Raw genomic sequence first — 25,665 nt, 5'->3', positions numbered from 1 at the left:
GAAATATTTTCTTTTTTAACATGGTGAAACTAGTGAAACAAAACACAAGGGGTGCACCTTTGAAGGATGCTCTGTCAGGGCCGAGCACGGTGGCTCACACCGGTAATCTCAGCACTTTGGGAGGTGGGGGCAGATCACGAGGTCAGGAGTTCGAGACCAGCCTGGCCAACATGGTGAAACCCCGTCTCTACTAAAAATACAAAAATTAGCCGGGCATGGTGGCATGTGCCTGTAATCCCAGCTACTCGGGAGCCTGAAGCAGGAGAATCGCTCCTGGGAGGCAGAGGTTGCAGTGGGCAGAGATCATAGCACTGCACTCCAGCCTGGGCAACAGAGCGAGACTCTGTCTCAAAAAAAAAAAAGGATGCTCTGTCAGATTTCGAGTTTGATAAAGCACTGATGTCATTCAAAAAATACATACATATACTTCAATTCGTAGACTTTTAGAGCTAAAAGGACACCAGAATTTTCCAGTGTAACTCTACCATTATACAAAGGAGGATACTGAGATGTGGAGAGGTTATGGGACTTGAGTCCATGGCCATTCATTGAGCCATTTTTCCTCTTGAGAATTTCTTTGAGCATTCTCTTCTCTTTCTTACTGACTGATGGTCAGAAATCTCTGCTGTCTTTTGGCTCATCTTGGTTGATATCTCAAACGAATGACTTGCCAATTGTAGATTATTAAGACTAGCCTAGCCTTAGCAGACTCTAGCCCTGGGAGTATTTCCCAAGGGACAAGTCAGGCTGTACAGTCATAGGATTAGCAGCATCATATTGCTTCAAGTGATAATAAATAATGCAGTGAGAGGAGAATAAGGGCAGAAATGTTACTTCTGTTCAACCTTTGTTAACTGTGGAATGTAGAGGGGCTTAGACACAGATAATTCAGAACCGAAACATAATATTTTTTGCATGTGACTTAAGAATGCTCCCTTTGCAATGAAATTTGAATGTGAGGCTTTTAGACTTCCAAACAGTCTCACTTTAAACACCACTGGCATTTAAACACTGGACTGAGGCACTGGGCAAGTTGTCCAGAATACTTCTGAAATCCTCCTTCCAAATTTCATTTGCTGAAAATGGGCAGTATCCCATACTCTACTGCTTTTTGTAGCCCAAACTATTCGGGTTGAAGAGTGTTTTTTCACAATGCATCCTACCTTCCAAGTACCAGAGAGACAAGCATCATTAGAAGTATCAGCCTAGCATCACTGCCGTTCTGTGCTTCTTCCTTCCAGGAGTCATAGGTCAGAAAGGTTTGCAAAAGGAATATTCAACACAGAGATTGTGGTCTCCAGTAATGTACTTCTTTCATAATTATGGCCAAGTGTGCTTTCAGAAGGAAATACATACATACACAAAAAATGCAAAAAAATAAACATATAAATTTGTAAAATGGTCACATATATGTCTGCATTCATTTATTTATTTAAAACACAACCAACTTCCTGCCTGAATGGAAGAAGCATTTGTCTATGGTAAAAATCATAGAAAATAAGAAAGAGTTAAGGAAACCATTGGACCAAATGTCCAACAAACAAAAAGTGTTGCCCTAAACACACAATTTTTCAAATTTTTTATAAGTATTTATGGAAATGAGGTAAGGTGTCTTTCATTGTCTTACATATACTGGTGTCTAAGAAATAAATATAAGAAATTATATTTGCAAACAAAGGATTTACTGTTTTAAAAACAAATTCTGCATTGGGCACACAGGTAGCATTAAAAATAAATGTTGAATGAAAGAATGCACATTGAGTTAAAATTTTGTTGATCATAAGAAATAGAGAAATGCTTCATCTTCATGTAATGCCAGAATCAAATGTATAAAATTATTACCACAATACCATTGGTTTAACCCAATTTAATGTTTCTTTTTTTTTTTTTTCTTATGGCTTCATAGAATGAGGAAATACTTCCCGGTTGGATAGAGTTATGGAGATTATGTCCCTTTTTCATCTGTAAACGTGAGACTTTTGGTTCTTTATCCTTAATAATGCACAATAGGGTTTGAAAAAATGTCATTTTTTACCCTGGCCTGACAGTTTTAGGAAGATAAATAATAGGCTTCTTGAGCTGTGGCAGATGATATCCCAATGGCTTAAATGTTAACAAGAATCTAGGGGGCACAGCAAATATTGAGTGCAGAATGGAGATCATAGAAATGATACAAAGCTGGGAATGTGAAAGACATGACAAGAAGTGGGAACCTATGGAAAGACAGTTCATGAGAAATTCCAAGATTGGGGGATGAGCAAAATATTTTAAGGCAGAGATGCTAAAGATTAAGTTTCATATCATTTGGTGTATAACAGGGTGAACGCTATCCTTTGCCTCCAACCTTCGATGAAAAACTGCTATACCTAGAACTTTGTGTCATTGGTACTTTGAGTGGTGTCTAGCACACACAGGTCAGTAAGAAAAAACTATGTGTCAGTTTGGCTCCGGTAAGAAGCATATATGCAGATGGAGAAAGTGTCAATGAAAGATAAGCAGGAGGTGTCAGGGAGAGTCGTTAATCCATGATGCAACTCTGACATCTGTGAGGGGAAAGAAGAAAGGAAGGAATATTGGGACAGAAAACTCCTAACCTGTAGTGCAGCTCCAAGAACATCTTGGCCTGGCTAATGGGGAGCCCCTGAACAAAGCTTGCCCATTAGAGGAATCCACATCAGACAGGGGTCTGTCTCTAGTCCTCTGCTGTGCTCAGTCATTGGCTGGGAGTGACCTCAGGGCATAAATGCCACAGGGGAGCTGTATGCACAAGAGCTGGTGGTTGTCTGCTAACCATACTCCTGGCAGGAAGTTCTCATAAAGGGAGATCTGAGTGGCACAAGCCTATGGTCACCAAAGACAATAAACTCAGTAAGGTGAGGTGATCGAGACACCAATCTAATTCATCAGAAGCAGAAATTTGAGTCAGAAACAACTAGAAGAAACCCAAGCCCCACCTACCTCCATGAATCCATGGAGGACCTCCTCTGTAATTGGGATGGAGATACCAACCAACTTAATGACAATCAAAAGGGAAAGCATGACTCAGCTGACATCTGATTTATACCCTGACTTGTCTTATAGAATGAAAAGGAGAAAGTTAGGCCAAGCCCCTCTTGTGTTTCATCTGTGCATATTGTCTAGCAGTGTAATCAACTCAAAAGTAGATGGAAAAGTTCTCAACCAGAACGCTTTCCTCAACCAATGTTCTGGTTGAGAACTTGTTCACAATGGCCAATTGTAAACAAGAGATAAGAGAGGTGTCTAGTCATTTTAAAAGCGCTTAATATTTTATCTGTGAGCATAAATATCTTATTTTCAGAGGTCTTTGCTTTACACAAGATGCATTTCAATATGGTCCCCAATTCTGGACATAGCTGAATGTAGGCAACAGTGGCAGATTCAAGTATAGTTTTATTGGAACTTGCCTCTAGAATATTAGCCGCTGGTGACTTTTTCATGTAAAATGGGCATCCTATTATCTTAGAGGACTCAATGCTTATGATAATAAAAGAAGCTACTTTCTAAATTGCCTTCTTAACATAATATTGCATTTTCAGCATATATAAACATCTCTTTCCCTCATGGCAAACCACTAAGTTGATGTTCATTTTAGACTTGACACTTATCTTATGGAGAGTTGGTTTTCTTTAATTGAATTTTAGGAAATGTTTTGTTTATATCAACATCCTGACTATTCTGGAGAAATCAAACTACAAAAGGCCTTCATTATAGCCTTTTAAAACATTTAAGATTTTATTGTGGTTTCAGGATTTTTTCCTCCATCTAGACACTGTGAATATTTACAGGGATGATCTTGGTTCTGGGCACTTGAAGGACAGTCACGTGTTCCAATATCAAACCCAGATGGGTGCAATTTGTAACACCCACGACAGGTTTCCCTGCTGTATGCTAGCCAACTCATTGTGGATTGCCCAGGAAAATCCTGGGCACTGAAAGGCCCACATCTTGGGAACCTCCCCAATCCCAAGCAAATGGAATGGTTGTTTACCCTACCATGCTCTCACCCTCAAACAAAATGGCGGAGTGGCTATTCTTGACAGGCAAATTACATTCCCCTTTATTTTCAAAGGTAGGACCGTTTAGACTTCTTGAATTGTTGTCATATTATTTCAAACATTTAAGAGTCACATTGATGTAGGGTATCTAGTGGATTTACCAGAGTTACTGATTTAACAGAATATATTCTTCTTAAATTTAAATATTGAACAAATTGAAATCATACTTATTTTCCAGAAGCAGTGAAGGGATGGAAACAATTGTGTTCTCAACAATCTACATATATATATTTTGTTCTCTCTCTTAAATTTGCTTTTATTCAGCTTCTCACTCCTCAGAGCTACTCTATATGAATAAATCAAATTAACATTAAGTTCAACTATGCATGCAACTCTTGCTTTATTTTAACTTCAGTTGTGCATATGTATACACATATATAGTACATATATACATGTATACAATATATGTATACACATATATAGTACATATATACATGTATACAATATATGTATACACATATATAGTACATATATACATTATACAATATATGTATACACATATACAGTACATATATACATGTATACAATATATGTATACACATATATAGTACATATATACATGTATACAATATATGTATACACATATATTAGTACATATATACGTGTATACAATATATGTATACACATAGTACATATATACGTGTATACAATATATGTATACACATAGTACATATATACGTGTATACAATATATGTATACACATAGTACATATATACGTGTATACGATATATGTATACACATAGTACATATATACGTGTATACAATATATGTATACACATAGTACATATATACGTGTATACAATATATGTATACACATAGTACATATATACGTGTATACAATATATGTATACGCATAGTACATATATACGTGTATACAATATATGTATACACATAGTACATATATACGTGTATACAATATATGTATACACATAGTACATATATACGTGTATACAATATATGTATACACATAGTACATATATACGTGTATACAATATATGTATACACATAGTACATATATACGTGTATACAATATATGTATACACATATATAGTACATATATACATGTATACAATATATGTATACACATAGTACATATATACATGTGTACAATATATGTATACACGTATATAGTACCTATATACGTGTATACAATATATGTATACACGTATATAGTACCTATATACGTGTATACAATATATGTATACCTATATTTCTGTATTTCCTGGCACATCTTGAAAATCAGTAAATCATAAAGGAGAGAAATGCAAAAGTGGTGGTTTATTCCTAAAAGCAAATTCAGTGCAACTGAATTACTATTTCAGTTCACAATGTGAAAAAGCCAATTGGAAATGTTCCAGATGTGGAAGAGGTAAAAATGCCAACTTTATTAAAATGTAAGCCAATGCAAAATTACAGTCTAAAATGGAAATAGAATTGAGAAAAATGCTGATTTTTGTCTGGCATGTACTGTAAAATTCTAATTTAATGTAGGTTAAAAAAGTGAAATTCCCACCCTTATATACGCATCGAGGGAAAGATAAGCCCACACTAAGTAGATTGTCCATAGTTCTTAGATTTTTGTGTTAATAATAATTTAAATTTTTGATAACATTTTAAGCTCAATTGATAATGGCATTGAAAGATTTCATAAACTAAAACAAATTGTTTTAGTAGAGACCACCAAAAGGGAGACACAATTTGATCTTGGGAGACCAACTTGGACCTACCACGTATCTGTATGTATACTACAGATGGAGTCATAGAGGAGCCACATTTTTAGAAAAGATTGGAAATATGAATAGAGCCTTTCCATAAACTGAAGAAAGCCATTGTTTTTTAGTGCTTTAGGTATGATTTCTCATAGAAGGATGATCCATATACCTGTTTATAACCTATAGGTGAAGCCGTAGGGGAGCCACATTTTCACAAAGAAAAAATGAAGAAAGTGTCTTCTCTGTGACTTTAGGTATGATTTCCCTTAGGAAGATGATCTAAATACTGTGCATACCAATGAACTGAGAAGGCATATAATCAGTAAGGCATAAAGTACTTTGATAAATAGGAAGATCGTAGGGTTTGGAGTCAGACAGACCTGGGTTCAAATCCCAGCATAACTTACTAGCTGGATAAACTTGGGAAAACTAATTAAGCTCTCTGGACAGCACTGTCCTCATCCACAAAATGAGGGTGATAATACCTACCTAATGGTGTTGTCTGGATAGTAATTACAGGTAACATTTCTTGGGTGCTTAGTGTGTACTAGAAGAGTCGCTGTGCTAAGTGCACTGCATGATCTTGTTCAATCATCACAATCACCTGATGACATAGGAACTCATGTTTATCCCATTTAATAGAAAAAACATTGAAGTTTATTGAGGGCAGTTAGCTCCCCCAAGGTCATCTAACACAGGGTGTAGAGTAGCTGGGACTTGAGTCCAGAACAATCTGATTGCACTGGCCTTTCCTCTTAATACATATTTACAAAATAATAAGCATAGCACTTTGCAAATAGTTGCTAATACTCTAATTATATCATCTGTCTTAGGCTTTTCCCCTATTTGGTTCCTAGAGGGTGTTGCTACCTGGGAAGATATCCAGGGCATGCTTTCCTTCCCATGCTCAACTCAGTACCACATATACCTCATTTCATTTTATAAGAACCTATCAATCAAACAGCAGATATTTTCCAACACCTTTTGCACTCACATCGGCTACCCAAGCAAGTTCTTCAGTCACTGGAAAGCCTAGAGTCTTGTGTCTTTGTATGCTATTCTAACCATCTACAAAAATGTCAGATAAAAGTATTTTTAATATCTATCCCTTAGTCTACCATCCAAAGAAAAACCCTTTACTCTTTTGCTGTTTGCCATTTACAACTCTGTTCTTTAACTGCAACAAAATTTTTCTTAAAAATCATAAAAGAAATATTTCAAAAGATGATTTTTTAAACATAATTTTATAGTTAAAACAGATTTCCAAGCAAGACTCAAACTCTAAAAAACATAAAAGGAAACAACTTGAACCCTAATAATGAGGTAAATAGCATAATTGTAAATTATAACAGTGGAAGCTCATATTTGCATGCTCATTATATGCAGAAAATAATGTAATGTCGTGTATGTATTAACTCATTTTATCCTCAAAAGAACCCTAGGAAGGATTTCCCACCATAATAATGATAGATAACTGAGTGTAGAAAAGTCCCTGAATCAGAACTAGTAAAGAGCAAAAACAACATTTGAATATAGGACATCTCATTTTAAAGCATGTTATATAAAAACTAAAAATTTCTGATTAGCAAAAAACCTACCTACACAAAGTTGAGAGACAAATGAAAAATATGACAGATGAAGAGCTGAGTTTATTGAGATATAAAGAATTTTTATGAATCAATATCCGAAAGATGTATACAGGCATATAACAGGAAAGACAATGAATAGCTTTTAAGCAAATTAAGTTCCAAATTCAGTCATAATTAAGTAAATGTATATTAAAAGAACAAAATACTAAAGATGAAAAACATGCAATAGAGGTACCAGCTGTTGACTCCCTTTTGTATTCTTTATGAATGATAAACACATGAAAAAATGTTAGTCCGATATTCTGCAAGTAAGAGAGTACCTAGGGCACAATGGCTTAAATAAGTTGAGGTTTACTTTTCTCATATAATTAGAAGTTTAAAGGTAGGTGGCTTCTGTTTTGGTGGCTCAGTGCTTCCATTATCTCTTGTGGTTCTCTTGGCCTTTCCCTCTCACTGTGGCAAGACGCATACCACAGCACCAGGAACCATGTCTGCATTCAAGTCAGTAAGGAGCAAGGAGGGAGAGAGAAAGTAGTGCTGACACATCTCTTCCTGTATTAGGTAAATAAAAGCTTACCTAGATAGATCCCAGCAGACTTTGGTTTATACCGTCCTGTCTGGAACTGTGATATAATTGAACGCTTATAGATGCAGGGGAGACTGAGAATGTGTTAGCTTAATGCAGAGAGGCAAGAAAGAAAGGGGGTGGGAACAGATGTTGGTTTAAACAACCAACAACATTGCATCTGATACACATTTGGAGCACAATATTTATCAAAATCTACATCCCAACTGACCATATCATTTATTGGAAAAGATTTGGAGCAACTGGAACTCTCGTACACTGCTGTGAGTATAAAATGGCATGATCACTTTGTAAAACCATTTGGCAGTTTATTACAAAGTTAAACACACACCCAGAAATTACATACCTGGGTGTTTGCCTAAGAGAAATGTACACCTGTGGCCCCGAAAGATATTTTCAAGAATATTTGTAGCAGCAATATTTGTAATAGCCCACAACAAGAAAGAATTCAAATGTCTATCAAAGATGAATGGATTAACAAATCGTGGTATACTCATACAATGGAATACTACTCAGCAATAAAAAATAAACTATTGATAACAAAACAACATGAATGAATTTCAAAACTCTCCTGAGAAACAGAAGCCAGGCACAAAAGTGCACACACTGTATGATCCCACTTGTAAAATTCTAGAACAAGCAAAACTATGTTGATAAAAAGCAAGTAAGTGGTTGCCTAGAGCCAGGGTTTGGGGAGGGATTTTCTGCAAACAGCTGTGAGGGAACGTCTGTGTTAATGGAATTTGTATTAACCATGTTTCTACCATCTGTAAATGTGATGCTTTAACATCTGCCCTGCATGCATATGCCGAACACACCTTGCTCTGGACAACCCAGTGAAATACCTAAGTCACTTTAAATACAAACCAACCAATCCAGAGTCTACATTCACTTCTCTAACAACCAAAGGTCATTTCTCCTCCCTTATGCTTCCTGCAGAAACCATGATAAAGGCCTAGGCCCACAGTTCCTCTTTCTCTTGCCCACTGGCTTCGTTACCTTACCCTCAGTGATTCCCCAGGTGACTCCCCAATAGTGTGAAGTGTACTCCCTCTCTTGGAAACTGTGAGTATAATAAACTGTCTTTTGAATGACAGTCATTTCCTGCTCTGTCAGCCTTTACCATACCTAAGTAATAATAAAGCCTATTAAAACACAAATATTCTATATCTGAATTGTGTTGATGGTAACATGGACATACACAAACTGCACACTTAAAGAAGATGCATTTGATTGTATATAAAGTTTATTCAAAGTAAATGAAAATATACATACCTTTTATTTCAGCACTTGATTGCTAAGACTTTATTTTTATTTTATTTTTATTTACCTATTTTTTGAGACGGAGTCGCACTCTGTCACCAAGGCTGGAGTGCAGTGGCGTGATCTCAGCTCACTACAACCTCCGCCTCCCAGGTTCAAGCCATCCTCCTGCCTCAGCCCCCCTAGTAGCTGCGACTACAGGCATGCGCCACTACGCCCAGCTAATTTTTTTTTTTTTTTTTTTTTTGTATTTTGAGTAGAGACGAGGTTTCACCCTGTTGGCCAGACTGGTCTCGAACTCCTGACCTCAAGTGATACACCCACCTCAGCCTTCCAAAGTGCTGGGTTTACAGGCGTGAGCCACTGTGCCCGGCCTATTCTCTAGATATACTCGCAAATGTATGTATACAAAGGTAGAGCAAGATCTTCATGGCATTGTCTGCCTCAGACTGAAAAAAGCACAAATGTCTGTCATCTGGGGATTGTTTGTTAATGCGGCATAACTGTGCTATCAAAATAAGTATCATGCATGCTATAATTTTGAGCCAGACCCACCTACAGCTTTCCAGCTTGGCCATCTGCACCATAAGCCAGGTCCCAAATGTACAATGAAATATTATTTAGCCATTAAAAAGAATAGATAAGTCTGTATAGACTAAAGAGGAGCAATGACCAAGATAACATTGTTTTAAAAATCAAGGTTAAGTAGCAAGGTCAAGAATACTGTGCACATTCTCTCCAATTTATGTTGATAAATATGGGAAGGGTAGGTTTTAAACATTGTATGTATCATATATTATACTTGTATATGCGTATAATGTGTAATGGTAGTAAGGATTCCTTCTGGGAGGACCAGAACCTGGATGCCTGGAGAGGAAATGAAATGTAGTTATCCCTGCATATCCTTTATAAGCTTAATTATTATCTTAGTCCATTTTCTGTTGCTTATAACAAAATACCTGAAACTGGGTAATTTATTTTTTTAAAAAGGAATTTATTTCTTACAGTTGTGGAGGTTGAGAAGTTCCAGGTTGAGTAGCCACATCTGGTGAGGGCCTTCTTGCTGGTGGGGACTCTGCAGAGTCCCAAGGCATACTTCAAGAGGACACATTTGATTGTTTATAAAGTCACATGGCAAAGTGACTGAGCATGCTAGCTCAGGCCTGTCTTCCTCTTCTTATAAAGCCACCAGCCCCATTCCCACAAAAACCTATTAATCAGTTAACCCTTAAATCCATTAATTCATGAATGAACTAATCCATTCATGAGGGCAGAGCCCTTGTAACCCAATCATCTCTTAGAAGCCCCACCTATCAACACTGCCATGTTCAGAGTTAAGTTTCAACATGAGTTTTGGGAGGGACAAATTTTCTAACTACAGCAATTATTATTGTAACATTGCATAAATATATTACTATGTTAATAAAAAGTGGCCATTGCTTTATAAACAAAATAATAAAATGTTAAAAATTAAATCATTTAGAGTTTGCAGAAACACAATATTTTATTACCATCTCAGGCTGATATAAGAATTATCCTGTTTTTACTGGATTAGCTGCTATTCTTAAATCAGTAAATAAGTGTAGCAAGTCCATGTTTCAGTACCTGCTGCTGGGGCCAAATATCTCAATGGAGAATGAGCATCCAAACAGCTTTAGCATGTAATAAATGTCAGAAAATAGAAAACAGATTCCACCATCTTCCAAAGGTCTATAATTCTCCAGACCACTACTTTGAATGGAGTGCTTTTCTTTTCTTTTTTTTTTTTTAATTATACTTTAAGTTCTAGGGTACATGTGCACAACGTGCAGGTTTGATACATAGGTATATATGTGCCATGTTGGTTTGCTGTGCCCATCAACTCATCATTTACATTAGGTATATCTCCTAATGCTATCCCTCCCCCAGCCCCCCACCCCCCAACAGGCCCCGGTGTGTGATGTTCCCCACCCTGTGTCCAAGTCATCTCATTGTTCAATTCCCACCTATGAGTGAGAACATGCAGTGTTTGGTTTTCTGTCCTGAGAGAGGGGCGTCCTTTCTTGTACCGGTTTTCAAAGGGAGTGCTTCCAGTTTTTGCCCAGTGTGATATTGGCTGTGGGTTTGTCATAAATAGCTCTTATTATTTTGAGATAAACATTCCGTCAATACCTAGTTTATTGAGAGTTTTTAGCATGAACGGCTGTTGAATTTTGTCAAAGGCCTTTTCTGCATCTATTGAGATAATAATGTGGTTTTTGTCATTGGTTCTGTTTATATGCCGGATTAAATTTATTGATTTGCATATGTTGAACCAGCCTTGCGTCCCAGGGATGAAGCTGACCAGATCGTGGTGGATAAGCTTTTTGATGTGCTGCTGGATTCGGTTTGCCAGTATTTTATTGAGGATTTTTGCATCGATGTTCATCAGGGATATTGGTCTAAAATTCTCTTTTTTTGTTGTGTCTCTGCCAGGCTTTGGTATCAGGATGATGCTGGCCTCATAAAATGAGTTAGGGAGGATTCCCTCTTTTTCTATTGATTGGAATAGTTTCAGAAAGAATGGTACCAGCGACTCTTTGTACCTCTGGTAGAATTCAGCTGTGAATCCATCTGGTCCTGGACATTTTTTTTATTGGTAGGCTATTAATTATTGCCTCAATTTCAGAGCCTGTTATTGGTCTATTCAGGGATTCAACCTCTTCCTGGTTTAGTCTTGGGAGGGTGTGTGTGTCGAGGAATTTATCCATTTCTTCTAGATTTTCTAGTTTATTTGCATAGAGGTGTTTATAGTATTCTCTGTTGGTAGTTTGTATTTCTGTGGGATCGGTGGTGATATCCCCTTTATCATTTTTTATTGTGTCTATTTGATTCTTCTCTCTTTTCTTCTTTATTAGTCTTGCTAGCGGTCTATCAATTTTGTTGATCTTTTAAAACAAAGCAGCTCCTAGATTCATTGATTTTTAGAAGGATTTTTTGTGTCTCTATCTCTTTCAGTTCTGCTCTGATTTTAGTTATTTCTTGCCTTCTGCTAGCTTTTGAACGTGTTTGCTCTTGCTTCTCTAGTTCTTTTGATTGTGATGTTAGGGTGTCAATTTTAGATCTTTCCTGCTTTCTCTTGTGGGCATTTAGTGCTATAAATTTCCCTCTACACACTGCTTTAAATGTGTCCCAGAGATTCTGGTACATTGTGTCTTTGTTACCATTGGTTTCAAAGAACTTCTTTATTTCTGCCTTCATTTCCTTAATTACCCAGTAGTCATTCAAGAGCAGGTTGTTCAGTTTCCATATAGTTGGGCGGTTTTGAGTGAGTTTCTTAATCCTGAGTTCTAATTTGATTGCACTGTGGTCTGAGAGACAGTTTGTTGTGATTTCTGTACTTTTACATTTGCTGAGGAGTGCTTTATTTCCAATTATGTGGTCAATTTTAGAATAAGTGTGATGTGGTGCTGAGAAGAATGTATATTCTATTGATTTGGGGTGGAGAGTTCTGCAGACGTCTATTAGGTCTGCTGGTTGCGGAGCTGAGTTCAGGTCGTGGATATCCTTGTTAACCTTCTGTCTCATTGATCTGTCTAATATTGACAGTAGGGTGTTAAAGTCTCCCATTATTATTGTGTGGGAGTCTGAGTCTCTTTGTAGGTCTCTAGGGACTTACTTTATGAATCTGGGTGTTCCTGTATTGGGTGCATATATATCTAGGATAGTTAGCTCTTCTTGTCGAATTGATTCCTTTACCATTAGGTAATGTCCTTCTTTGTCTCTTTTGATCTTTGTTGGTTTAAAGTCTGTTTTATCAGAGACTAGGATTGCAACCCCTGTTTTTTGTGCTTTCCATTTGCTTGGTAGATCTTGCTCCATCCTTTTATTTTGAGCCTATGTGTGTCTCTGCATGTGAAATGGGTCTCCGGAATACAGCACACTGATGGGTCTTGATTCTTTGTCCAGTTTGCCAGTCTGTGTCTTTAATTGGGGCATTTAGCCCATTTACATTTAAGGTTAATATTGTTATGTGTGAATTTTATCCTGTCATTATGATGTCCGTTGGTTATTTTGCCCATTAATTGATGCAGTTTCTTCATAGCATCAATGGTCTTTACAATTTGGCCTGTTTTTGCAGTGGCTGGTACCGGTTTTTCCTTTCCATGTTTAGTGCTTCCTTCAGGAGCTCTTGTAAGGCAGGCCTGGTGGTGACAAAATCTCTCAGCATTTGCTTGTCTGTAAAGGATTTTATTTCTCCTTCACTTATGAAGCTTAGTTTGGCTGGATATGAAATTCTAGGTTGAAAATTCTTTTCTTTAAGAATGTTGAATATTGGCCCCCACTCTCTTCTGGCTTGTAGGGTTTCTGCTGAGAGATCCGCTGTTAGTCTGATGGGCTTCCCTTTGTGGGTAACCCGACCTTTCTCTCTGGCTGCCCTTAACACTTTTTCCTTCATTTCAACCTTGGTAAATCTGACAATTATGTGTCTTGGGGTTGCTCTTCTCGAGGAGTATCTTTTTGGTGTTCTCTGTATTTCCTGAATTTGAATGTTGGCCTGCCTTTCTATGTTGGGGAAGTTCTCCTGGATAATATCCTGAAGAGTGTTTTCCAGTTTGGTTCCATTCTCCCCATCAATTTCAGGTACACCAATCAGACGTAGATTTGGTCTTTTCACATAGTCCCATATTTCTTGGAGGCTTTATTCATTTCTCTTTACTCTGTTTTCTCTAACCTTGTCTTATCACTTTATTTCATTAATTTGATCTTCAATCACTGATAGCCTTTCTTCTACTTGATGGAATCAGCTATTGAAGCTTGTGCATGCTTCACGAAGTTCTCCTGCCATGGTTTTCAGCTCCATCAGGTCATTTAAGGTCTTCTCTATACTGTTTATTCTAGTTAGCCATTCCTCTAATCTTTTTGCAAGGTTTTTCGCTTCCTTGCAATGGTTTCGAACATCCTCCTTTAGCTCAGAGAAGTTTGTTATTACTGACCTTCTGAAGCCTACTTCTGTCAACTCATCAAAGTCATTCTCCGTCCAGTTTTATTCCACTGCTGGCGAGGAGCTGTGATCCTTTGCAGGAGAAGAAGTGCTCTGATTTTTAGAATTTTCAGCTTTTCTGCTCTGGTTTCTTCCCATCTTTGTGATTTTATCTACCTTTGGTCTTTGATGTTGGTGACCTACAGATGGGGTTTTGGTGTAGATGACCTTTTTGTTGATGTTGATGCTATTCCTTTTCATTTGTTAGTTTTCATTCTAACAGTCAGGTCCCTCAGCTGCAGGTCTGTTGGAGTTTACTGGAGTTCCACTCCAGACCCTGTTTGCCTGGGTATCACCAGTGGAGGCTGCAAAGCAGCAAATATTGCTGCCTGATCCTTCCTCTGGAAGCTTTATCCCAGAGGGCCAGCCGCCTATATGAGGTGTCTGTCGTCCCCTACTGGGAGGTGTCTCCCAGTTAGGCTACACGGGGTTTAGGGACCCACTTGAGGAGGCAGTTTGTCCATTCTCAGATCTGTCCATTCTCAGATCTCAAGCACCATGCTGGGAGAACCACTGCTCTCTTCAGAGCTATCAGACAGGGACGTTTAAGTCTGCAGAAGTTGCGGCCTTTTGTTCAGCTATGCCCTGCCCACAGAGGTGGAGTCTAGAGGCAGTAGGCTTTTTTTGAACTGCAGTGGGCTCTGCCCAGTTCGAACTTCCCGGCTGCTTTGTTTACCTACTCAGGCCTCAGCAATGGCGGATGCCCCTCCCCTAGCCAGGCTGCCATCTCACAGATTGATCTCAGACTGCTGCGCTAGCAGTGAGCAAGGCTCCATGGGCGTGGGAGCCACTGAGCCAGGTACGGGAGAGAATCACCTTGTCTGCCAGTTGCTAAGACCTTGAGAAAAGCACAGTATGTGGGTGGGAGTGTCCCGTTTTTCCAGGTAGTCTGTCACGGCTTCCCTTGGCTAGGAAAGGGAAATCCCCTGACCCCTTGAGCTTCCCGGGTGAGGCGACACCCCACCCTGCTTCACCTCGCCCTCCATGGGCTGCACCCACTGTCCAACCAGTCCCAATGAGATGAACCAGGTACCTCAGTTGGAAATGCAGAAATCACCCGTCCTCTGTGTCAATCACGTGGGGAGCTGCAGACTGGAGCTGTTCCTATTTGGCCATCTTGGGAAGTTCTGGAGTGCCTTTTTCACTCCAGAACTTTATGCAAAATACACAACATTTTCCCTAACATCCTCTTAGTTATACCCAACCCCCCAACACACACATTATCAGAGCCACCTTGGGAAATATCACTCTTGTCTTTGCTTTACGGAGTAGCAAAAGGAAACCCAAGATGACAATGGTTTGCTCAAGTTATAAAGAGGCATAGGAACTCTGAGTATGTATATATTCTTATAAGTTAAATTTTAGCTAGTTGAGTCTATGTCAAATAAACCTCTTTTGAGAGAGAGAGAAAGAAAATGATAGTAAAATTTGGTTTGCTCATAGCTTTATATATTAATGTGAGACTCAGAGAGAGAAAAAAATATGAGGCTTTTGCCTCCCTTCACTAAGCATCAAATAAGCACAAAGATGCTGATGAATGTGACGTATGTGATCAAAATGATGCAGGTGGTCAAACCAGAGGACCATAGGTGAGCCAAGCTTAAAATCATGAGACAAGTCAGATTAGTGCAGGTTAAGCTGCATTAACAGTCAACACCAAAATCTTAGTCACATAACACAATGAAGTTTATTTTTGTATTATGCCTCATAAATAGCAGATGCCCATGAAGGATGTTATTCTATGTTATCTTGCCTCTGGGACCTGGGCTAATAGAAATAACAACATATGGAACATCACTGGTCATAACATCAGTGGGAAGAGTGCTGTGAGGTCTCACAATGGCAATAAAGTTTCCCAATTGGGAAATGATGCAAGTTACTTCTGCCCACAGCCTATTGGCCATTACTAGTCACATCCCTCTGTCCAATGGCAAGGGGATTGGTTAAGTGTATGTCCTCCCATAATTCCAGGAAAGAAGAAGTCTAGATATGGGTAAACAGGAGTAGCCCCTACCACCAGAATGAAAGCAAAGGCAGTGAAGAAGAATGGTGAGCTGGAATGCTATGGCATGGCAGCCCATCTGATCTCTTCACCTGGAGTCATCTCTACGATCTCCTAAAGGTTTGTGTCTTGGGCTAAGTTTTTGGCTAAGAGAACAATCCTTACAAGAACTTTGGTATTCCTAGAACACTCAGATTACACTCAGATAACAGTTAGGGCAAATAATAGGCTAACCAAAAAAACTTAAAAGAAAAAGCTAGAGAATGAGATGTACGTAGAGAGATTTGAAAGACTCTGACATATTTCCGAGAATCTGGACAGCTACACGCATGTGTAAGGCTGTGTGCATACCCAGGGCTGTGAACATGCTCAAAAAAGACTTAAGAAGGCACCAAGTTCTCACCTCTGTCTAATCTTGGGGCTCTGTGCAGGCAGGAAGTAAAGGCTAAGGCCAAGTTGTAAGCTGCTTTGTTGAGTGTTGAAGGTATGACCCAACATGCACAAAATGCCCCTCAGCAAAGACTGGAAGACTTATTAATTCCAGACATTAAAAAAATCTGTCTAGTTATTAGCTGACCGCTAATCTGAGCAAAGACTTTAGTGTTCATGCATGACAAAGAATACAGACTGTACATAATTAGTTCAGGAAAGTCACTAAACGAACAACAAAACAACAAGTAGCAATAACAACAAATCCTAGAGAAGGGAAAGAATCTGATTTCCAGAGTTGTCATGTTATATTATTTCAAATATCTAGTTTTCAACAAAAAATTATGGACACACAAAGAAATAATAAAGTGTGGCCCATACATTGTGGTGGGGTTGGGGATGGGAAGCAGTCAGCAGAAACTGTCTGTACCTGAGGAAGCCCAGATTTGAGCCTCACTAGACAATGACTTTTAATCTGTGATTTTGAATATATTCAAAGCATTAAAAGAAACCATATCTAAAGAACCAAAGTCTCACTAAATAGAGAACATTTAATGAAAGGATGGGAATTATTGGAAAAAAGCCAAATAGATATTCTCAGGTTGAAAAGTACAATAACCAAAATAAAAAACTCACCAGCAGGACTCAACAGCACATTTGAGCAGATAAAGACAACAGGGTGAAAATAACAGGCATCTTGTGTTCCCACACTCTATTCACAAACTCTGCAGAACTTGTTGAGAGTTGGGAGGTCCCACACAGCTGCAATCTCCTCACCAACTTCCTCAACCTTTACAAGCAGAAGTCTAGAAATGCACTGGAGAATCATCAGAGAATACCTACATTTTAAGTCAAGTGATGAGAAAGTTTCAGTGATGGAGGGTGGAATGTTATTCCACAGTTAGCTATTTGCTTACGTAACAGATTTGCTTGTTTCTTCTCTGGATGTGGGGGCAGGACAATCACTGGAGAGGGAGAAGAAGACAGAGACCAATGAGCACACACTCTAAATGTGTCCAGGATGTTTGGGTTTCCCATGAGTCCAATGGACATGAAGAAAATGTACTTGGGTTTGGGCTATTGCCCCACCCATGATGGCTGCCTATTGGGTGAGGGGTCCCTGGCAGCAAGAGGTTGTGTGGTCCACCACCAAAGCCAGTCTTTGAAGTGGGGTCAAACTGAAGTGCATCTTTCACGTTTGAGAACTGTGTAGTGGAAAGACCCATCCCAAGGGACTTCTGGAAAAATACTTCCATGAGCTGCAGGACAGAGCAGGCGTTTTGTTTATGTATGCACAGGGCCTCTGGGGAAGAGCAGCAATAGTCAACAGAGAGTTGACTACAAAGGTACCTATTTTATCAGAGTTGTCTGCCCCCAGGCACCCCTAACCCTGTTCCTTCTCCCTAAGCCCTTACACTAAATAAAAAGAAAGAACCTGGAAGAGGACAAGTGAAAGAAGTGGAAAAAGCCCTCTCCCTATCTAAAACCCCTCAAGCCAAGGCCTAGCACTGGGAGCCCAGAGGAGGAGTTCCTCCTAAGCAGAATATGGGACTGAAGTTTTATAATGGACTGAGCTGGTCAATTTCAAATTGAAAATAAGCAATCAATGGAAGGATCTGCCTGGGATATCTTTGGAGAAGAAACTGGCAGCCAGACAGAAAATGTTTGAAGGCAGAGGTTTGGAGAAAAAATACTCTTGTCATGTTCTATAAACCGGTTTCACATAGATATCATGGAAAATATTATACTGAGTGAGTACACAGTCCAAACAATTGTTTGTGTTACTGTTTTGTATCTTAAACATACATCCACTGTGTAACCATGAGAAATGTTGAGTTCTTCTCTTCCCTATGCCTCAGATCACTCTTCCAGAAAAATGAACTGGTTTTACCAAATATTCCCTAAGAAGTAACTCAGTAACTCTTTGCTCTTTCTTCAACACAGTATGCAATCATTGTATATCAATAAGTAATTCAAGTAATCCAATTCTTACAAGTACCCTGTGAGTAGGTAGGGTAGATATTCTTGGTCCCTTTTAAGATTAGGAGGATCAGGAGGCTTACAGAGGTCAAGTGACTTGCCCAAGTTGCACCAGCTGGTGAATGGCAGGGTGAGGACCATGAATCAAGCCTCCTAACTCAACAGCATCTCCTCTTCCTAGTAAACTACATTATTTCATGCTTAGTTAAATTCGTGTGCATGCCATCCAAAATATTTTCCAAAATGGTATTTTTATCTCTTAGTATTTTGTGCATTGTGAGGGGATTATACTTGTGAGCAAAAAAAGAACATTCTGCAAAGGTTTCCTAAGTGCTGGAACAGGTCCCTGGTCGTGATAGAGGGGACAGTGCTGCATGTTTTTCCTGTCTGAAGGGCCTGAAGATGTGCATCTAGACTAGCCAAAAAAAAAAGTCAATGAGCTTCAGGAACATGAGACACCTGCAAAAGTTATCTAAGAAGTTTCCTCCAGTTGGGCTAACATCAGAAGGAAGTGAGTTGGTCGATGACCTAACAGCAAGATCAAGAAGAGAAATGCTGGAATCTTTCTTGAATTTACCTTCATAAAAAACAGCCCCTCCAATGATTTCTAGGTTTAAATTTTGTCCAAATAGATGGTGTTGGAGGATGACAGACCTTCAGACTTTTCATGTGACAATATTTGTATAAAAGCATTTGGAATCATGTTTATTATGCTGAAAATGACATCCCAGGGGAAAGTGCATGTTTCTTTGGATTTTAGATCTACAAGCATCTACCATTATGTGAGACCAGCTCTTATTTACACAAAGGATTGCTTTCCAACCTTCTGTCCACTCAGAATTCTTGAAGCACTCCATTACATTATTTTATCATGTGGTCATGTGTTTTGGGTTACCCTCATCATAAACTACAGCTGCATGAAAGAACTGTGTACCCATCTACTTTAAACGTAATAAAATCTTACACATATAAAATAAATTAAACCATCCTATTGTGGTACATGTTTATTGTGATGATAAGAGGTGGGTGGGGGGCTCGAGTTTCTGTGTTTTTAGTTTAGGACATCAGGCTTTGGAAACTTCCTGGGAAGTTGTCCTCTCCAAAGAAAAATTTACTAGGACCTTGATATGGAAAGATTGAAATGATTAAGTGGGTCTCTAGAGAGAACAAAGAAGAGACCAAACTGATCATGAGGCTCCATCCTCACCCTTTCCTTCCCACTGCTGATGAAATCTGCCAGGTGCCTCTATGCACTGACTGCCTCACCCAGATAGGGGCTAGCTTGTCACTGATCCCAGAGTTGCTCAGAACTGGAAATGTTTTTACTAAAATAGATTTGGAACTCATAGATTCCCTGAACCTTCGATCCAGAATCTACCTTTAGGGCATTTGGTAAAAATAAGAAAGGGATAGAAGAGATTTTTCCAGGGAACAAATAATCAGGTCCAAATATACAGTTTTCTTGGATCATTCAAGCCACTTTCATAAGTTTCATGTGCCTCGTATGGACCATCAGGTAGTATTTGATTAGTAATTTAAGTGGCTTCCAACCTATCTTCTTTCCCACAGTATGGAAAAGATGGTTTTCTATGAAAGCCTATTCCTTCAACCTCTGCCAACATGCATGCGCACACACACACACACACACACACACACACACACACACACACGCATACACACCATTACCAACGCCAACACCACTACAGATAAATGCCTGAAGCAGTGACTTCCTTAGAACACTCCTATAAATTTATCTGTCTCCTCAGAAAGATTGGACACCATTATCTGAGCACACATATATTTGCCTATACAATATGCTTTTATTAAAATTCTTTATGTGACATTACACTTCAAAGAATGGCATGGTATAGATGTAGATGAACAATGGGAATGAAATGCACCAAATCTCTGAAAATGCTGATGACTGGCTGAGTCTTCAGTAACTCTACCCTGCTCGTGTTTCTGGGATGAGTTAGTCTGTGTTCTTAAAAGTGGAAGTGTGTGCCTAGCTGAAGAGGGGACAAAGGGAGCAGGAGAAAAATCCTTTCATAGGACAATTATTACTTTGATAAATGTGAGATATAGGACATGGAAACCTTAAGGCACCTTTGCGGCTCCCTTTTCTCCTGGGAAAGAGAAATGCATCCCAATCTAGTCACCAGGAAATCCTTAAATATTACCAGTTGCTATTTACCACAGACAATTGATAACATGAAAGCAGCTGAAAATTTGCTGCATTGAACAATTTTGAAAATTGTACTTTTTCAATTGGCCTATACTTAAGGACAAACAAAATTGAAAATTATTTCATCAATGCCACTTAGAGTAAAACACACGCACATACTTTAAAATACATTTAACTCCTAATTATAAATATATTCATAGTAAGCATTCTAGATTTTCTTGGCTATAGACCAAAGAAAGTTAACAACCACTTTTATGTAGAATAGTTTATCCAATGTTAAAATAAGACAAATATCAAAACACCTCAAAGGTGTTTGATGAAATCACAAGGAGCCCAAGGGAAGACTGGTTGGTGTCACTTTGGTGTATGTTTGTGCATGCATGCAAGCACACATACACACATGCTCATAAAAAATTTGCTGATGATGGGACCTGTATCGACTCATGGAACTCTATTCTGGGGGGACAAATATGCAGAGAAATCTTGACCCTCACCATATATGAACCAAAGACCCAGAAATTACAGCATTGCCTCAGGGATTGGCACAGATGCCTTGAAGCTTCTAGTTGGAATTAGAATGTACCTTCCAAAGCACCAGGAAATTGCCACTTCACCTAGATTCTGTTGGATTATGTGATTCTTGGCACCTTAATTATTCTGAAAACTTCACACCATCTTTGAAAATCAGTTTCAGAATTCAGAGATGGGTTGCCCTATATATAGTTGCTGACAGTCTTTGACAAGAGCCGTAGCTATCAAATAGTTGAGAGCAACGATTGAAAAGTGTATTTGATTATGCATGTGTAGAAGTTAACAATAAATGCACATGTATTCTAAATATATATATATTTATAAATTACATACGTGAACCAGAAACCAATACATGTTGTGTCTTATAAAACATACATAACAGAATAAACATGAAGTAAATAGATAATATTTTGAAACGTGCTGCTCACCGTGATAACATCATCCTATGGGAAGGCACAATTCCCTCTTAGGGTACAGTTTGTATAGAATGGAAATAGTTGTTAATACATGCTGTATGTGAATTTCTTGATAACGTTAATTATTTGTGGCTGAGTTATCTTTGACTCTGAATAAAGAGTCATAATGTGGCTGATGATGGCCTACTTGGAGTAGGAAAAGAGTTGCTTCTGACATTTTCTTATCACTGACTTAAGATTGCAATAGTAGTACTTCCTCAACCCGTGGCTTCCTTATAGAAAAATTTCAAAGCCATTGGTCCATTATGTGAGGGTTATTCAAGTTAAAATTAGATAATATAACAGTACAATACATTGCAATACTACAGAGTGGGGGTGACTATCTGATACACGGGCCACATATAGGGTTTCAATGTAAAAATGTAAATATTAGTGATGGGGTTCAGGACACACTACCCCAAAATATGGCACCTTGACATTTGGAAAAACAGCAGAAACAGGGAAGACACTCTCATCTTCCCTTCACCGTTCTCCCGTGAATCAAGTTGTAAGACCCTAGTGCGAGAGGTTTCCTCTCTGTAGGAAAGAAACTATACCTGAAGGAAAGGAACATCCTTTTATCTGAAGACACAGGGATGCAGAGAAAAATCTGAACAAACAAGTCTTGCTAAATTCCCCCCAGTTTATTACCATTAGATCATATCCTTTTGTCCTCCAATCATATTTCTCCATGACTGTCCATTCTCTATCAATCTTAAATATACAAATATGCAAGTTTACCTATTCTGAGCCTTCATTTCTGAAGGCCCCTGTGTTATGTAAAACTTATATTAAATAAATTTCTATGTTTTTTTCTTGTTAATAATCTAGTTTTTTGTTATAGAAAACTGGCCACAAACCTAGTGATGGAAATCTTTTCCTCCCCTGTTAGCAAAGTTTAATTTCTTTCTTGTTTTCTAAGTAAAAATAAATACAAACAGAAGTTCTCATCTTTTTTCCCTAAACTCCAATAGATTATCTTGCTTGCCTTTGGTAGTGCACATACTCCACTTTGGAGATCAGGGATTTGGGTTCTTAAGGACTTACAGGATGTGCTGTTTATCATCAAAAGACAGCTCAAATGTCCCCTCCCCAGAGACATTTTCCCTTACAGTAGCCTCCCCTCTGGCACAGACACAACCTAGCATATCACTATTACCATAACATTTCCCATTCTCTGGATTTACATTGTTTGTATATTGGCTCACCTTCCTATTGGTGTATTATTTCTCTCTCATTCCCCATTAGAATGTAAGTACCACAAAAGCAGATGCCTTATCTGTCTGTGTCACCCCTGTTCCTTGACCTGGCAGGTAGTTATCTTTTTGATTACTGTAAGTTTTGTTGGCTGGCCATTTACTTCATTGTCCTCAGTACAGTGGCATGGCAATGACACTTTATGGTGCTAAGAAGTACAACTTGGCCGTCTTCAAACTTTCCAATTATCTTCTCAGTTGCTGAAATGAATAATCATACATCATAGTTGGCTTGTGAATTAGGGGGAGAATTCGTAGCTTCCACCACAGAAACCAAAAATTTTTCTAGTTCCTATCTTGTAAAGGGCCAAACTCAAAGCTACTTAAGTAAAAATTATATATAGGCTAAAAAACGTGTTTCTTCTTTATTAATTTTGAAGATGAGATTATATGAACTATGAAATTATTTCATAGAGCTTTCCAAATCACAAAATGACATCTGAAACCTAAACCATTATAATCATTACTACTGAAATACTCGTTTTCCTTAACTTAGGGAAAATAATATGTATTTAAAAAATGGTATGCAATGAATATAGGACTATTTTTGAGCACATTCTCTACTTCAGTAATTTTACCTGTATTAACCATTTTAAGTTCAAAAAATTTAAGCCTTTTGAAGTGCTTGTGTTTATTTCCATTTAAAGACATCAAGGTAACAGAATGTTTCTCAGTTTTGTTATGGCCTCAGGAGAAAATTGAAAACACCCATAGAATACTTTTTAGTTTTTAGCTTTTATTTCCATCATTTTTAATTATTTATAACAGCAAAGACAAAGGTTTTTAAATTTTTAAATAATTATTTAATAGGTGTGGTAGGTAGAATAATGGCCCCCAAAGATTGGAGTAGGCCCAAATAAAGGCCTCTCATCCTAATCTCTGGAACTTATGATTATGTTACTTTACATGGCAAAAAGGACTTTGAAGATGTGATTTAGTTAAGGATTTTGAGATGGGGAAATTATTCTGGATTACCCAGGTGGGCACGGTATAATTAAAAGGGTCCTTGTAAGTGAAAGAGGGAGACAAGATAGTCAGAGGCAGCAGTATGAGGATGGAAGCAGTGTCAAAGTGATGCAGTGTGAGAAAGACTCAACCAGCATTGCTGGCTTTGAAGATGGAGGAAGGGGCCATGAGCCAAGGAATGTGGGCAGGCCCAAGCAGCTGGAAGAGCCGAGGAAACTGATTATCCCCTAGTACTTCCTGAAAGAGCACAGCCCTGCTGACATATTGATTTTAGCCCAGTGACATCCATTTGAACTTGTGACCTCCATAAATATAAAATAATAAATTTGCTTTGTTTAAGTCACTAAATTTGTGGTAACTTCTTACAACAGCTATAGGAAACAAATATAACCATAATTTTAGAATATGTACTTTTAAAAAACCCATCAATTCCTCAGTATAGCCTCTCACATTTAGCTCCAGACAAATTTTAATGGCTGCAAAGTAATCTAGTTAGAACTCTTGAAATCTGAGCTTTACTAATCAAAGAATCATTTTAAATTATGCAAACTGGATAATAATGCCAAGTCCTTGTGTGTGCTGTTTATAACTCTAAGTTCATATGCAAAAAGACACCTATTTGACACAAAGCAATAGTTATATCATAAAACACCTGAAGGGTCAGTTCAAGCCTCCTGTCTCTTGGAAACTAAGCAAATAGGATCAGGCTCTGTAAGGAGTGTGTGCTTGATATACGTCAACAGACTAACACAAGAGACAAGGATATCCAGGAGGTGGTCTTTGAACCTATATGTCTTTCCTGGTTTCAGAGTCTGATGCTTGGCTGTCTGAAACCTATTCCTGAAATGAAAACTGTGAGATCACATATCCAGCATTGTTTCTCAAATAGAACTAGAAATAATAGCCTAAGAAATGTACCATCAGCTGGAACTGGAAAGAATTGTGATACTTGAAGAGACTTAGCACTTGGTGGACTATGATTTTCTATCAATCAAGTCAAGCACTGCTACCCAGTCTTCACTACAGAGTGCACCGGAAAGAATGATCCAGCAGTAAAATGCTTTATGAACTATCCATATGGAAACCATTGGCAATAACACATCCTGGCATATGGTAAGTGACGTATATACACATAAAAATAAGAACTGTAAACATTGCAAGCTATTTAATAGTGAAATCATATTCTACCCCACCACTATCTCTCCAACAAAACACACCAAAGAGTCCCCCCACTCTCTGCCACCTGAGACCCCTAGCAGGAATGGTTATGCTCAGTCATTGTTATTATTCAGGGTCTCAAAAGAAAGCAGATGGCACACTCAAATGAGTTTACATGGAGAGAGAATAGTGAACTTTTTACAGATGGTTGGGCAGGGCTAAAAGACTGATGAGGAATGGGGTTAGCAATAACGGGAAGCTGCAGCTGCCACTCCTAGGTCTGAGTGGGCAAGAGAAGGGAATGTCCGTAATGGCACCAGAAAGAGCTAGAGCTCTGGAAGTGGGATGTCTTAACAGGAGCCATAGCTATAGCAGAATGCAGTCACTGGCAGAACCACAGCAGGGAGGAAGTGGAAAGGGTAATTACCATGACCTCTTCCTCCGCTCACTCATCTGTCTCTTGCCAGAGCTTCCT

General features: G+C 38.4%; 1 long non-coding RNA gene across 1 annotated transcript in view; it reads left to right on the top strand.

The window, feature by feature from the left end:
* Window positions 1-25,665, top strand: part of HCCS-DT (HCCS divergent transcript) — a 263,596-nt gene that overhangs the window by 225,951 nt on the left and 11,980 nt on the right. The window contains exon 5 of the long non-coding RNA NR_186561.1: window positions 24,842-25,145. This is a non-coding gene — a long non-coding RNA (HCCS divergent transcript). The remainder of the gene's footprint in view (window positions 1-24,841; window positions 25,146-25,665) is intronic.

This window comes from Homo sapiens, chromosome X, assembly GCF_000001405.40.
Source record: "Homo sapiens chromosome X, GRCh38.p14 Primary Assembly".
Lineage (NCBI taxonomy): Eukaryota > Metazoa > Chordata > Mammalia > Primates > Hominidae > Homo > Homo sapiens.
Note: the sequence above shows the minus strand (reverse complement) of the source record. Positions and strands in the feature narration are given on the sequence as shown.